The following is a 13450-nucleotide window of genomic DNA, read 5'->3' as shown; positions in this document are numbered from 1 at the left end:
AAGAACACTGAACACTTAGAAAAAAATACACAAATATATATTTGTAGCCAGGTGAGCGTATATATATATGTATATGTGTGTGTGTGTGTATGCATGTATGTATTTATTTTTATTTATTAATTTTTTAGACGGAGTTTCGCTCTTGTTACCCAGGCTGGAATGCAATGGCACGATCTCGGCCCACCCCAACCTCCGCCTCCCGGGTTCAAGCGATTCTCCTGCCTCAGCCTCCCGCGGAGCTGGGACTACAGGCATGCGCCACCATGCCCGGCTAATTTTGTATTTTTAGTAGAGACGGGGTTTCTCCTCTCCTCCCGGAAGGCGGAGGTTACAGTGACCCGAGATCACGCCGTTACCCTCCAGCCTGGGCGACAGAGCGAGACTCTGTCTCGAAAAAAAAAAAAAAAAAAGACTGGTCTCGAACTCGCGACCTCAGGTGATCCGCCCGCCTCGGCCTCCCAAAGTGCTGAGATTACAGGCGTGAGCCACCGCGCCCGACAAAAATATGTATTTTTAAGTGTCAGTGTGCAGAAAGGAGAAGAAAAAAAGTGAAAATTAAAAATGACTTTAATCAGTAACTGCTTAACTAAAATTTAAAGTTATACTTGGAAACGTATAAAACCCATACTATCCCCTTCGCCGCCCTCCCCCGAACTGAGGCAGCAGGGACACCCCTCGCCCTGCCCTGGCCCACACCGGGCCTCGCGCTCAGGCACCGGGCATGGACAGCCCGGCGGGCCTGTGAGGACCCCGCACAGCCAAGATGGCGGCGTCCGTGCGACAGGCACGCAGCCTACTAGGTGTGGCGGCGACCCTGGCCCCGGGTTCCCGTGGCTACCGGGCGCGGCCGCCCCCGCGCCGCAGGCCGGGACCCCGGTGGCCAGACCCCGAGGACCTCCTGACCCCGCGGTGGCAGCTGGGACCGCGCTACGCGGCTAAGCAGTTCGCGCGTTACGGCGCCGCCTCCGGGGTGGTCCCCGGTTCGTTATGGCCGTCGCCGGAGCAGCTGCGGGAGCTGGAGGCCGAAGAACGCGAATGGTACCCGAGCCTGGCGACCATGCAGGAGTCGCTGCGGGTGAAGCAGCTGGCCGAAGAGCAGAAGCGTCGGGAGAGGTGCGTGCGTGCAGGCAGACGCGGGGCTGCCCTCTGTGCCCCGTGGGCGAACTGGGCCCCAAACCGTGCCTACCCCTTCGGGGTCACGTCGCAGCATCTGCATGTTGTAGATTTATGTATACGCTCACCTGGCCGCAAAACAAACTCAGAATAACGTCCATTTAGTCATTCATCAGCAAGTTTTGTTTGTTTGTTTGTTTGTTTTTTGGAGACAAGAGTCTCGCTCTGTTGCCCAGGCTGGAGTGCAGTCGCAAGATCTTGGCTCACTGCAACCTCCGCCTCCCCGGTTCAAGCGATTCTCCCGCCTTAGCCTCCGGTGTAGCTGGGATTACAGGCGTGCACCACCACGCCCGGCAAATTTTTGTAGTTTTAGTAGAGACGGGGTTCCACCATGTTGGCCAGGCTGGTCTCAAACTCCTTACTTCAAGTGATCCACCTGCCTCAGCCTCCCAAAGTGCCGGGATTACAGGTGTGAGCCATCACGTCCGGCCATCACCACCAAGTCTTTACTGAGCGCATACCGTGTGCAAGACCCTGTCCCAGGCCGGGGGCGGTGGCTCGTGCCTGTAATCCCAGTTATTTGGGAGGCCGAGGCAGGCCCCAAAAGGGCCCTTAATATCAGATGGCGACAGCTGACAGGCAAGATAATACCAATGGTGACAGCCGACTAGTAGGAAGGTAAAAGAGTGAAGAGTGTGTGCCTGAGGGCAGCTTTGGTTTGGGAAGCCTCAGGCCTCTCTGAGGAGGTGATGTTTAAGCAAAGACCTGAATAACCAGACTTAGCTATGGGGCGATCTCTTGGGTAGAAAGTTTCTGGTAAAGGGAACAGCTGGGGCAAATGCCCTGAGATACGATATGCCTTAAAGAACAGCCAGGAAGCCAGTGTGGCTGGGGAAAAGGTGAGGGCAGGAAGGTGATGGGTCCTGGAACCAAGAGGGCAGAGGTCAGATACAGAGGCAGGTCTGAAGGACCAGGGGCATCTTTTTGTTGTTGTTGTTGTTGTTGTTTTGAGGCAGAGTTTTGCTCTTGTTGCCCAGGCTGGAGTGCAATCTCAGCTCACTGCAACCTCTGCCTCCCAGGATCAAGAGATTCTCCTGCTTCAGCCTCCCGAGTAGCTGGGATTACAAGCGCCCACCACCACACCCGGCTCATTTTTTGTATTTTTAGTAGAGATGGGGTTTCGCCATATTGGCCAGGCTGGTCTCAAACTCCTGACCTCAGGTGATCCATCTGCCTCGGCCTCCCAAAGTGCTAGGATTACAGGCGTGAGCCACCGCGTCGGGCCAGACCAGGGGCATCTCTTATAGATAATGCCACATCCTGGAGCGTGAAGGGGGTAGGTCAAGTGTGTTCCTGGTGTTTAATCTTCTTGTTTTCCTAATAGCCTTAAGAGGAAGAAGGGATTGCCCTAATTTTAGAGATGAGGAAACTGAGGCTTGGTGAAGTGAAGTCATGCGTCTGATCACCCAGGCAGGGAATCATGGAGCAGGGACTCCTGTTTCTGCCCCTCCTCAGCCAGATGACCATTATAGGGCTTAATTCTTTTACTTTTCTAATCCTTAAATGAGGCTGTCATAAAAAAGAACGAGATCATGTCCTTTGCAGGGACACGACGGGAGCTGGAGGCTATCATCCCTAGCAAACTAACACAGGAACAGAAAACCAAATACAACGTGTTCTCACTTGTAAGTGGGAGCTAAATGATGAGAACACATGGACACACAGGGGAGCAACACACACTAGGGCTTTTTGGAGGGTGGAGGGAGAGGATCAGGAAAAATGACCTCTAGGTACTAGGTTTAATACCTGAGTGATGAAATAAATCTGTACAAAAAAACCCCATGACACAAGTTTACCTACGTAACAAACCTGCACTTGTACCCCTGAACTTAAAAGAAAAAAATGGGGCTGTGACTGGTAGCTACAAACTCAAGGATTGGTGGGAAATGTCTTTCTTGCTTTCACTCCTGTGCCTAGAATTGGGCCTGGCCTCTGTACAGGAAGTGCTCAGCAATGTCTATGAAATAAAGGTGTGAAATTATCCATGGGAGTGGCACTTGGCTTGCTCAGTAGGCAGCTCAGTGAAATGCTGATTTGGCTTTGGCACCTGGGGTTTACTGGGGCTTGACATGCCCTTGTGATCAAATTCATGCACAGGTAACTTTCTCATCATCTCTTCCTGTTTCTTCACTTGTCAAGGGCTTTTCCTGACAGTTAATCTACTGGGGGAGTTGAGGAGGCAGGCTCGTGGGCAAAGGCCTATGGGTGAGATATGGGTGGGTGGGCTCTGCCCTGGCTGAGTGCCAGTGTCACAGCCCACTCTCCCTCCCCTGCAGGGAGCAGCACATCGCAGAGTGCATGGCCAAGATGCCACAGATGATTGTGAACTGGCAGCAGCAGCAGCGGGAGAACTGGGAGAAGGCCCAGGCTGACAAGGAGAGGAGGGCCCGACTGCAGGCTGAGGCCCAGGAGCTCCTGGGCTACCAGGTGGACCCAAGGAGTGCCCGCTTCCAGGAGCTGCTCCAGGACCTAGAGAAGAAGGAGCGCAAGCGCCTCAAGGAGGAAAAACAGAAACGGAAGAAGGAGGCGCGAGCTGCTGCATTGGCTGCAGCTGTGGCTCAAGACCCAGCAGCCTCTGGGGCACCCAGCTCCTGAGGCTTTGTCCCTTCCCAATAAAGCCTGCTACCTGGCAGTACCCCTGAAGAGATCTGCGTCCTCTCAAGGTGTGCCTCTCTGGGTCCCCTGGTTCCTCCCCCAATACTTAAGAGCTGGGGAATCCCCCACTTGGCTGTACTCAAAAGGGGACAGGGACTCTAGGCCCTGCTGACTAACTGGGGCTTCAGTGGGAGGAAAAGGGGGGTGTACAATGGGCAAATAATGGAGAAGCAGATGGCAGAAGAGAAGAAGGCTTCTGTTTACCAACATTCATCTCCAGTAATTAGCCAATTACAAGGCTGGTGGGGGGGGAAGTATAGCCAAAACAGACTGTGGTGATGATGGTGGGGGCCGGGGAGAAGCAGTCCTTGTAACGTTGGGCTGGGGTCCACTGCCTGGAAATGACACACTGGGGGAGGAGACACCGGAAGCCTCAATCTGCAGGGACTCACAGACTCCTCTCCCCCTTCCAGGCACCCGTCACCATGCCTGCCTGTGCCCAGCCAGCCCCCCAAGACCCAGACAGGTGGGCGCGGGGAGCCCCAGCAGGCACAGACCATAGGGCTAGTTTTTAAAACTTTATTCACTTCAAAACCTTTATCAGAGACACGGTTCTGTTCTGGGGTGGGGGTGGCCTTGACAATGAGCTGATGTTAGCCCTTCTCCAGGCTGGAGGCCAAGGCCAGACTGGGGAGGGGGCCTTGGGCCTTTCAGGACTTGCCCTAGATGGAAAGATTTGGGCCACTCCAATGGAGGATCAAAGTTGGGGCTCCAGCTTCCCCTCATCCTAGAAGAGGATGGGGGGGGGTCCTCAGGGGTTTTTCGGAGGATGGAGAGGCAAGCAGCCGCCTTTCCGTCTGGCTGCAGAGAGCTGGGACAGAGGCCAAGAGGGGCCCATCTGTCGCCTCCCAGTCCTGCCAGCTTCTCTGAGCAGGCTGGGCTGGGGAGGAGGACGGGGGGACAGCTGTCTGGCCCGGGAGATGGGAACAGGGGCCACTTTAGGAGGACAGGAAGCTGGACTGTTTGCTTGTTTTTTTAAGATTTTTGATTTTTTTTTCCATTTCTTAAATAAACATGAATATATATATATTTTTTCTTTTATAAAACTTTCATGGAATAAGGGTAGGGTGGGGGCTTCGGTGGCCTGGCTTCCTGGCATCACTCGTCATCAAAGTTCTGACTCAGGAGGAAGTTGGCAGCCAAGTTCTCATTTTTTTCACACGCGAAATAGGCCTGGATGACCAGGCTCTCTGGGAAGCCCAGGGCCTTCAACTGTGGGAAGATAGGTTAAGTGTGAGCAGGAGAGGGTAGGGGTCCTGCCCACCTGCAGTCACCCCTCAGCCAGGCCTCTTACCCTCTCTATAGCTTCTTTCTCCTGCGGCGTCACCTGGATGTAGTTCATCTGCGGGGCCTCCTCTCCTATGGCGCCCACCTCCCCCTCCACATCTGAGATGTCCGCCAGCTCCCCAGGGGGCTCGTTCAGCATCTGGATGAACTGCTCCTGGTGCCGGCTGATTTGCTGCAGGAGAGGGTGGGGAAGGGAAGGTAATTCACAGCCCTGGTCCCCTCCTCTCCCCAGGTCATCACAGCCCTTGCTTTTTCATTCAGTCAGGCAAATATCCAGAGGAGCCTGTTCTGGCCAAACACAACATAGCAGTCGACACAAGCCCTACCCTGGAAGAGCTGATGATGTGCTTTTAAGTGAGCCAAGAAATAAGCCGGGCACGGTGGCTCACACCTGTAATCCCAGCACTTTGGGAGGCAGAGGCAGGTGGATCACTTGAGGTCAGGAGTTCGAGTCCAGCCTGGCCAACATGGTGAACCCCCATCTCTACTAAGAATACAAAAAGTAGCCAGGTGTGGTGGCAGACGCCTGTAATCCCAGCTACTTGGCAGGCTGAGGCATAAGACTGAACCCAGGAGGCGGAGGCTGCAGTAAGCCACTGAACTCCAGCCTGGGCAACAGAGCAAGACCCTGTCTTGAATAAATAAATACATAAATAGGCTGGCTGCAGTGGTTCACACCTATAATCACTTCAGGTGATTCTAGACCAGCCTGGAGTTCGAGACCAGCCTGGCCAATATGGTGAAACTCCGTCTCTACTAAAATACAAAAATTAGCTGGGTGTGATGGCACGTGCCTGTAATCCCATCTACTCAAGAAGGCTAAGGTAGGAGAATCACTTGAACACAGGAGGCAGAGGTTGCAGGGAGCCGAGACTGTGCCACTGCACTCCAGCCTGGGCAAGAGACTCTCAAAAAATAAGTGAGTGAGCCAATAAATGAACCAGACAACTGCAAGTGTCTGGCTAGGAAGGAACTGCAGATGAGGGCTGGTGGAGAGGCCTGCAGTATGGCGGATGCAGAGGGTTTCCTCCAGGTAAAGCAAACAGCAAGTGCAAAGGCCCAGGGTGGATGCATCTGGGAAGTCTCAGAAACAGAAGCAGGAACAGAGTGAATGGGGCTGGGCACGGTGCCTCATGCCTGCAATCCCAGTACTTTGGGAGGCTGAGGCAGGCAGATCACTTGAGGTCAGGAGTTTGAGAGCAGCCTGACCAACATGGAGAAATCCCATCTCTACTAAAAATATAAAATTAGCAGGGCGTGGTGGCACATGCCTGTAATCCCAGCTACTCTGGGGGCTGAGGCAGGAGAATCTCTTGAACCCAGGAGGCGGAGGTTACGGTGAGCTGAGATCACGCCACTGCACTCCAGCCTGGGCAACAAGAGCGAAACTCCATCTCAAAAACAAACAAACAACAACAACAAAAAAAACAAAAAACAGCGAACAAGGGAAGGGGGAGGAGGCAGACAATGACACCAGAGAGGAAGGCCCAAGTCAGACCCATTTTCTAGAGCAGGGGGAAGCCACGGTGGTGACAGTTACATGGGAAAAGACGTGGTCTGTGGATCTTTTAGAAAGGTGAACTTGGCCGGGTGTGGTGGCTCACGCCTGTAACCTCAACAATTTGGGAGGCAAGGCAGGAGGGACTGCTTGGGCCCAAGAGTTCAAAACCAGCCTGGGCAACATAGACCCTGTCTCTATTCCCACCTACCAGCCCCCAAACCAAAAAAAGTGAACTCATCTGGGTGTTGGATTTAGGTATCTGGAAGTTCATTTGTTCATTTTTGTTTCTGTTCTTTTTGAGACACTCTCACTCTGTCACCCAGGCTGGAGTGCAGTGGGGCAATCTCGGTTCACTGTAATTTCTGCCTCCTGGGTTCAAGCGATTCTCCTGCCTCCACCTCCTGAGTAGCTGGGACTACAGTGGCCTGCCGCCATGCTCAGCTACTTTTTGTATTTATAGTAGAGACGAGTTTTTGCCATGTTGGCCAGGCTGGTCTAAAACTCCTGACCAAGTGGTCTGCCTGCCTTAGCCTCCCAAAGTGCTGGGATTACAGGCATGAGCCACTGTGCCCTACCTGGGTATCTGGAAGCTCTGATATAACTCTACCATTGTATGCATCTGATCATTTTCACATTAAAGAAGAAAGTGCTTTTCAGTCAGCCAGGTGTGATGGCTCATGCCTGTAATTGCAGCACTTTGGGAGGCCAAGGCGGGCAGATCATTAGGTCAGGAGATTGAGACCATCCTGGCTAACAGGGTGAAATCCCATCTCTACTAAAAATACAAAAAATTAGTCAGGCGTGGTGGCGGGCGCCTGTAGTCCCAGCTACTCGGGCGGGGGCAAAAGAATCGCTTGAACCCGGGAGGCGGAGGTTGCAGTGAGCCGGGATTGCGCCATTGCACTCCAGCCTGGGCGACAGAGCGAGATTTCCTCTCAAAAAAAAAAAGAAAAGAAAGTGCTTTTTAGTCATCTGCCTCATGGTTGAAAAGTGGACTGTGGGACTATGCAGTGGCAGAGGCCCAGGAAGAGGCTACCAGAGAGCTGGAGTGCAGGGAGGGGCTGAGTGGGAAGAGCAGACAGGACAAGGGGTAGACCCCAGCAGATCCCCAGGGCCTGGGGCTGAAGCAACCCCAAGCTAATCCTTGCAGAGATCGGGGAGGACTGGGGAGGTCTGTTCTAAGTCTTAGACGTCTAGTCTAGGGAGCACTTTGATGGAGAGTTAATTAAGCCAGCCATGGAGTGTGGCATTCAGAGAGGCCTGGGCTGGCTACATAGATTTGGGGGTTCCCATACAGACTGAAGGCCCCAGGACACTATGAGGGAGGGCTGAGTGCAGATGAAGAACACGACCGACCAGGAGGAGCTGGCAAGGGACTGAGAAGTGAGAGGAGAAGGGTCAGACAGCAGGGTCCTGAGCCAAGACCGGTAGGCACTTCACCGAGAACCCAGAGGAACCTACTTGCACCCAGGGGGCCACTCCCCCACTCTTCCTGTGAACCTTCAAGGGCAAGATGGAGCCTCACTGAGCAGAGTTGTCCCAGAGCCAACTGGGGCACAGCTGTCCTGGGTGACGTCATGCCACCTTACAGACATTTACGCAGCACCATCTGTATGTGAAGCCAGAGCCCCAGCCCAGGACCCCACCCCGAGGCAGGAGGCAGACACACACACTACCAGCTGCGTGACCCTGGGAATGACAGGCTGCTCTAAGTTTCCGGTGTCTTCTTCTGTGGGAGGTGATGTTGACAGCACCCACACCTTACAAGGTGGTTGGGAAGACTGAGAAACCAGGGGGGTCACCAGGTCACAGGAAGCACAGGGGCGTGGGGGAAGCATGTGCTTAGTCCTGCTTTCCGGACCTAGAACGATTCCTACGTGTTATGGACTCTGGTGCCCACAGGGAAGGGAAATGGTGGCTGCCCTAGCTCCCTCTGCCCTTGGGACCACACCTGTAAAAGCTGAGGGTTCTCCTGGCCCAGCTGCTGGAGCAGGGCGGGCAGCAGCGCAGGGTTCTGCTGAATCACCTGCCGCATGTTCTGGAACTGGGGCTGGTCCCGCAGGAACTCCAGGGGGTTCTCTCCTGCTGGTAGTAGGAAGGGGTGCAGTCAGACACCACGCCGGGCTCCTAGGAGCACTGCGGGGTGGAGTGTAATGTGAGTCAGGTACCTGGAGGGCAGATGCGGCATGTGCACACCCACCTGCTTCCGTGGCCGGCTGCTCCGATACCTGGCTCTCCTGGACAGAACCGTGTTCCGGCTCGGGGCTCCCAGGAATTCCCTGTCAGGGGTCCTGTTTAGTTCTAATGCACAGACCTCCTGCTGCCACCCTCCTCCATGCCCTGGCAGGACACAGATGAGGCCTCGGCCCTGCCCTCCAGAGGCCCACCCATCACTCACATCCAGCCTCCTGTGGGAAGCCTTTAGTGGCTAGAATCACTACCCAAAGGCTTTTCAGGGCAGGTTTTGCCTTCCCAACCGCCCATCAGGGCAGTGACGCCCGGGTACTCCCTCAAGGCCTCCCCGGGAGGCGGAAGCCCCACCTCACCGTGAGCAGATACTCCACGGCTCGGTGGGGGTTGTTGTAGCTGGCTCTCAGGGCGGCCACGACCCGCTCTCGCTCATAGCCCATGGACATGATCTCCGTCAGCATCGTCTCATACTCAGAGCCCGTCACTGTGGAGGAAGCAGCAAAGCCTAGGTCACCAGGAAGAGGAAAGGGCAGCTCCCAGGCCCTCCCGCACCCAGACAAGGCCCAGCTGATGGCTGGGGCACCCAGTCACCTCTGCCCTGGGGACCACCCACCCACCTAGCGTGGAGGCCGCGTCTTCCTCTCGCCCGCTGCTACCTGAAGAGGGAACAGAGCTGCAAATTCAAGAGAGAGAAATCGGACCCTGGCTTCTGGCGGCTTGCCCTCCCTCCAGGTGTGTGGGACCACTTATGTGGACGCTGGAATGTGCTAGGAGGACAGGGCCCAAGCTGGGACTGCTGCCCCCGCCTTACCCTGACACAGACTCTGGGGACGTCGTGGGGGCGGATTCCTCTGATGGGCTCTTGTCCTCTCTGGCGGCAGGTGGGGGATGGGACATGCCTGAGGTGGGGGCAGGCGGGAAGGATGTAGAGGACTCTGGGGCAGCTGTGGGTGAGGCCTCTGGGGGTGCTGAGGTACCCTGGCCGGCTTTGGTCTGCAACAGCAAGAAAAAGGGAGCTGGCATCAGCAACCCTATCAGACCCAACAACCCGCTCCGCTGTGGCCCCGCCCTGTTCACAGCTAATCTCTCCTGGGCACACAGGCTCTTTGCCAGCTCCCCAGCTCGTCCACCCACCCTCCCAGCCAGCACACGTCACCCACCTTGGTCACCATGACGACCACAAAGTTCTTCTCATCGATGCGATAGTCCCTGATAGGGACATCGTCACTCAAGATCTTGCCGGCATAGATGAGTTTCTGTCCAGCCACGGGGAAGGCATCACGACCCTTCTCAGCTTCTATCTTCTCCTTTAGCACCTTCACCTAGAGGGAGTGGTACAGACAGTCACTGGAGACCCCAAGATTCTCTTTTCCCTTCTAGTTTAGGACAGAGAAACTGCCAGCCCTGATGGCAGAAAGGCAAGCACGCTGGGTTTTTTAAGCTTTCTCAGCATCTAAAGCATGCTAGATTTGAATTCATTCAATCATCATGCCATTCAACACAGTATTTACTTATACTAAACACCCATTATGTGCCAGGTGCTGTTTTAGACACAGAGGCCACAGCACAGAACAAACTCAACACAAGTAAGTCCCTGCTCTCAATGAGAGAACACTAATGTGAAGAAAATGTAATTTCGGGTAGTATAAAGTATAATTAACAGAATAAAGGGGACAGTCCCCCACTCTACACTCTACCTTGGACAATAAGTGACTAATAGTTAATAGTGATATTTTTTAATTTTAAGAGGCAGGATCTCGCTGCCGCCCATGCTGGATTGATGTGGCACGATCATCGCTGACTGCAGCCTCAAACTCCTGGGCTCAACTGGTACTCTTGTCCAGCCTTGGGAGTAGCTAGGACTAAAGGTACACACCACCACTCCAGACTAATTAAAAATAATTTTTTTTTGTAGATAAGAGTCTCCCTATGTTAGACTGGCTGGTCTCAAACTCCTGGCCTCAAGCAATCCTCCTGCCTCTGCCTCCCAAATCATCAGGATTAGAGGCATGAGCCACCGTGCCTGGCCAATAGTGCTACTGTAAATGTATATGTGTCATACCTTTTAAGTTTCCTATGAAATACGTTTAATTGGTCTCATTTTATTTATTGATTTTTGTTTCTTTTTTTTGTAGAGAACGGGGTCTCACTGTGTTGCCAGGATGATCTCGAATTCCTAGGCTCAAGGGCTCCTCTTCCCTCTGCCTCCCTAAGTGCTGGGATTACAGGCGGAAGCCAGCAGGCGACCGGTTCATTTGATATTTGAGAAAACGGAGGCACAGACAGGTAGGCAGGTTAACTTGCCCAAAGCCAAACACTTGAGCGGATCAAAAAATGTGTGTTTCCTTTTCTACAAAAAGTGGACTTCAATGTCTCCCTCACTATGCAAAAAGCGCCAAGTACCCAATAGACATTCAGTATGTTTGAATTAGGTCCTAATTCTACTTTTGACTAAAAAGGCAGCATAATATTTATATCGTGGACGCTCACACGAGGCAGAACCGAATTTGAATCCCAGCTCTGCCATTACTTGTGTGTGACTGTGGCAAAGTTCCTCAATCCCTAGGTTTCCACATCTGTAAAATGATCAGAGGTCCCCAATGACAAGCCCGTTTTGCAGAGCGGTAAAACAACACTACAACACTCGGTGACTGATAAAAAGTAAACGGCCAACAAACACGGACCACCAAAATTATAAAGACTGAGACCCGTTTATTATCATTAACATCGTTGTTGTCGTCACTACTCAGTATCTCCTGGTCATTACTCCTAGATTCGACCACCAGTGTCCCAAGGAGACGCCTGCAAAGCTGGGAACGTGGAGCCCAGTCTTGGAGAGCTTGGCCTGCCCAGGAATCCGAGCTTGTGACTCCCGCGCCCCGCGAGAGCGCTGACATTGGAGCCGGGGCCTGGCCAGCGCCCCGGGGGTGGGGCCTCGCCCGGAGACCGGCGCAGGAGCGCCGCCCGATCGGCTGGGGGCTGGGCCAAAGACCATCGGGGGGTCCAGGAAAGTCGGGCAGGTCGGGGGTCTGGGCAGGGCCGACCCGCGCCGTCCTCCCTGCCCCTCCCGTTGGGATTCTAGCCTCCCCGCCCCCACCCCACCCCCGAAACCCGTCGCTCCCGCCCCCGGGCTCCGGCCCGGCCCGCACCGTCTCGTCAGGCTCCATGCGGATCTTGAAGGTCTGCTGCTGCAGCGTTTTGAGCGTGATGGTGACGGCCATGGCGGGGCCCGAGCGACGCGGCGGCCCCGGGATCCTCACACAACATGCAACTCACGCCGCCGCCATCTTAGCGCCCAGGCGCGCCGCGCCGCGCGCCGACCACTTCCGGGGCAGGCAATGCGCGCGCTGACCACCGGCGCACGTGACCTGCGCACTCCCTCCTTGGCCTTTGTGGGCATGCGCACGAGCGCGTTCTCGAGCGAGGCACGCGCAGACTAAACTCCGCGCTGTGGGCGGGGCTTCTTGCTCGGCCCGCACACGTGGTCTCCTGAGTGACGCCATGCCCGTTATCGGTGACGTCACGGGGCTGCAAAGTGACTCTGGTGTCCCCACTCTCACGCTCAAATGAATTTTTAACAAAGTTTTTATGTACCTGTACTGGTTACAGACATTTGTATTTCTTCTGTAAAAACCTCATTTTGCCTCTTCCAAATGAGAATTTTTTCTTTCAAACAGTCTCTGTCACCCAGGCTGGAGTGCAGTGGCGCGATCTCGGCTCACTGCAGCTTCCGCCTTCCGGGTTCATGCAATTCTCCTGCCTCAGCCTCCCGAGTAACTGGGATTACAGGCACCCCCCACCACGCCCGGATAATTTTTTGTATTGGGTTTCACCGTGTTGGCCAGGCTGGTCTCAAAACTCCTGACCTCAGGTGATCCACCCGCCTCGGCCTCCCAAAGTGCTGGGATTACAGGCGTGAACCACCGTACCCGGCCCCCAAATGAGTTTTATTCTGGTCTGGGTATCCTGGCAGGAACCCTTGTAGAGCAGTCAAAGTGAAAGTTACTCAAAACTAGAAATACCTGAAAGGCCACCAAGCACAGAAAAAAAACCTTAAGTTGGAAGCGGGGGCAAGGTGCCATTTTGTAGCCTCATTCATTCTTTAGGGATCTGGAGTTTTGGAATGAACCTACAATTTTCATTCTTGGGTCTCCGGGCAGGAGTACTTTGTTGTACTATACCTAATCTGACCCCAGAAGTATTTAAAGATGTTAACTTTCAAAGCCTCACTACATTAAATACAGAATTCTCCCTTGGATCTACCAGTCCTGGAGGCATCCCAGAGGGGTTGGGCTGAGCCACAGGACCCCAAAGGAATAGAAGCATGAAAAAGGCCAGTTTAAGGGGCAGGGTGAACCAGATTGAGCCACTGTACGCCAGCCTGGACAACAGAGCGAGAGTCTATCTTAAAAATAAATAAATAAGCAGAACCAAAACTTACCAGTTAGGTTCAAGGATTCAGTAAGTTAGTATGTGGAGTATTTACAGCAGCAACAGCCATTCCCCCGTTGGTTTTGAGGGTTATGGGGTAAATAAGGGTCCCTGGAATCTTGTGGAACACTCAGCAACCTCTCTAGCAATAGCTGAAAAAGGAGATATACTGGAAACCCCCCCCCCCCCCAAAAAGACCACTGCTGGGTTTCC

At 54.0% G+C, this 13450-nt stretch overlaps 2 protein-coding genes across 5 annotated transcripts, besides 12 other annotated features; one reads left to right on the top strand and one right to left on the bottom strand.

Annotated features, from left to right (window-relative positions):
* Positions 405-1277: an enhancer, noted in NCBI's record as "H3K27ac-H3K4me1 hESC enhancer chr19:13067513-13068385 (GRCh37/hg19 assembly coordinates)". NCBI's record gives its function as "activates a minimal SCP1, AML or CMV promoter by ChIP-STARR-seq in primed H9 embryonic stem cells {active_cell/tissue: H9 hESC(primed)}" and the evidence as "EXISTENCE:reporter gene assay evidence [ECO:0000049][PMID:30033119]".
* Positions 753-4857, top strand: GADD45GIP1 (GADD45G interacting protein 1). Its single transcript, NM_052850.4, has 2 exons — positions 753-1113; positions 3450-4857. The coding sequence occupies exons 1-2, from the start codon at positions 764-766 to the stop codon at positions 3766-3768; spliced, it is 669 nt and encodes a 222-aa protein (NP_443082.2). The 5' UTR covers positions 753-763; the 3' UTR covers positions 3769-4857.
* Positions 807-976: a silencer, noted in NCBI's record as "silent region_10185". NCBI's record gives its function as "represses an Ori minimal core promoter by ATAC-STARR-seq in GM12878 lymphoblastoid cells {active_cell/tissue: GM12878}" and the evidence as "EXISTENCE:reporter gene assay evidence [ECO:0000049][PMID:35858748]".
* Positions 1377-1426: an enhancer, noted in NCBI's record as "active region_14100". NCBI's record gives its function as "activates an Ori minimal core promoter by ATAC-STARR-seq in GM12878 lymphoblastoid cells {active_cell/tissue: GM12878}" and the evidence as "EXISTENCE:reporter gene assay evidence [ECO:0000049][PMID:35858748]".
* Positions 4270-5469: an enhancer, noted in NCBI's record as "BRD4-independent group 4 enhancer chr19:13063321-13064520 (GRCh37/hg19 assembly coordinates)". NCBI's record gives its function as "activates an origin of replication core promoter dependent on BRD2, P300/CBP, MED14 and CDK7 cofactors, and independent of BRD4, by STARR-seq in HCT116 cells {active_cell/tissue: HCT116}" and the evidence as "EXISTENCE:reporter gene assay evidence [ECO:0000049][PMID:35650434]".
* RAD23A (RAD23 nucleotide excision repair protein A) lies at positions 4334-12114 on the bottom strand. Of its 4 annotated transcripts, none has more exons than NM_005053.4 (9): positions 11956-12114; positions 9967-10128; positions 9618-9799; positions 9424-9479; positions 9163-9290; positions 8817-8895; positions 8568-8701; positions 5123-5287; positions 4334-5040 (listed from the first exon to the last, which is right to left on the bottom strand). In NM_005053.4, the coding sequence occupies exons 1-9, from the start codon at positions 12025-12027 to the stop codon at positions 4927-4929; spliced, it is 1092 nt and encodes a 363-aa protein (NP_005044.1). In that variant the 5' UTR covers positions 12028-12114; the 3' UTR covers positions 4334-4926. The 4 variants fall into 4 exon arrangements, 3 of the variants coding, with proteins under 3 accessions (NP_005044.1, NP_001257291.1, NP_001257292.1); NM_001270362.2 differs by having other exon boundaries at positions 8568-8698; NR_072976.2 differs by lacking the exon at positions 9424-9479.
* Positions 9498-10697: an enhancer, noted in NCBI's record as "CDK7 strongly-dependent group 2 enhancer chr19:13058093-13059292 (GRCh37/hg19 assembly coordinates)". NCBI's record gives its function as "activates an origin of replication core promoter dependent on BRD2, BRD4, P300/CBP, MED14 and CDK7 cofactors, with strong dependence on CDK7, by STARR-seq in HCT116 cells {active_cell/tissue: HCT116}" and the evidence as "EXISTENCE:reporter gene assay evidence [ECO:0000049][PMID:35650434]".
* Positions 11327-11621: a silencer, noted in NCBI's record as "tiled region #11818; HepG2 Repressive non-DNase unmatched - State 1:Tss". NCBI's record gives its function as "represses a minimal TATA promoter and a strong SV40 promoter by Sharpr-MPRA in HepG2 cells {active_cell/tissue: HepG2}" and the evidence as "EXISTENCE:reporter gene assay evidence [ECO:0000049][PMID:27701403]".
* Positions 11327-11652: a biological region, named in NCBI's record as "Sharpr-MPRA regulatory region 11818".
* Positions 11593-11652: a silencer, noted in NCBI's record as "silent region_10184". NCBI's record gives its function as "represses an Ori minimal core promoter by ATAC-STARR-seq in GM12878 lymphoblastoid cells {active_cell/tissue: GM12878}" and the evidence as "EXISTENCE:reporter gene assay evidence [ECO:0000049][PMID:35858748]".
* Positions 11644-12336: an enhancer, noted in NCBI's record as "H3K27ac hESC enhancer chr19:13056454-13057146 (GRCh37/hg19 assembly coordinates)". NCBI's record gives its function as "activates a minimal SCP1, AML or CMV promoter by ChIP-STARR-seq in naive and primed H9 embryonic stem cells {active_cell/tissue: H9 hESC(naive and primed)}" and the evidence as "EXISTENCE:reporter gene assay evidence [ECO:0000049][PMID:30033119]".
* Positions 11673-11862: a silencer, noted in NCBI's record as "silent region_10183". NCBI's record gives its function as "represses an Ori minimal core promoter by ATAC-STARR-seq in GM12878 lymphoblastoid cells {active_cell/tissue: GM12878}" and the evidence as "EXISTENCE:reporter gene assay evidence [ECO:0000049][PMID:35858748]".
* Positions 11873-11952: a silencer, noted in NCBI's record as "silent region_10182". NCBI's record gives its function as "represses an Ori minimal core promoter by ATAC-STARR-seq in GM12878 lymphoblastoid cells {active_cell/tissue: GM12878}" and the evidence as "EXISTENCE:reporter gene assay evidence [ECO:0000049][PMID:35858748]".
* Positions 12013-12232: an enhancer, noted in NCBI's record as "active region_14099". NCBI's record gives its function as "activates an Ori minimal core promoter by ATAC-STARR-seq in GM12878 lymphoblastoid cells {active_cell/tissue: GM12878}" and the evidence as "EXISTENCE:reporter gene assay evidence [ECO:0000049][PMID:35858748]".

The sequence above is a fragment of the Homo sapiens genome, chromosome 19 (genome assembly GCF_000001405.40).
Source record: "Homo sapiens chromosome 19, GRCh38.p14 Primary Assembly".
Taxonomy (NCBI): domain Eukaryota; kingdom Metazoa; phylum Chordata; class Mammalia; order Primates; family Hominidae; genus Homo; species Homo sapiens.
This window is presented reverse-complemented; position numbering and strand designations above follow the sequence as displayed.

Coding starts and splice junctions, on each gene's coding strand:
- GADD45GIP1 (NM_052850.4), top strand. CDS start 764: ATGGCGGCGTCCGTGCGACAGGCACGCAGCCTACTAGGTGTGGCGGCG. Junction 1,114..3,449: donor GAGCAGAAGCGTCGGGAGAG/GTGCGTGCGTGC, acceptor CCTCCCCTGCAG/GGAGCAGCACATCGCAGAGT.
- RAD23A (NM_005053.4), bottom strand. CDS start 12,027: ATGGCCGTCACCATCACGCTCAAAACGCTGCAGCAGCAGACCTTCAAG. Junction 10,129..11,955: donor GCATGGAGCCTGACGAGACG/GTGCGGGCCGGG, acceptor CACTCCCTCTAG/GTGAAGGTGCTAAAGGAGAA. Junction 8,702..8,816: donor GCAGCCGGCCACGGAAGCAG/GTGGGTGTGCAC, acceptor TCCTACTACCAG/CAGGAGAGAACCCCCTGGAG.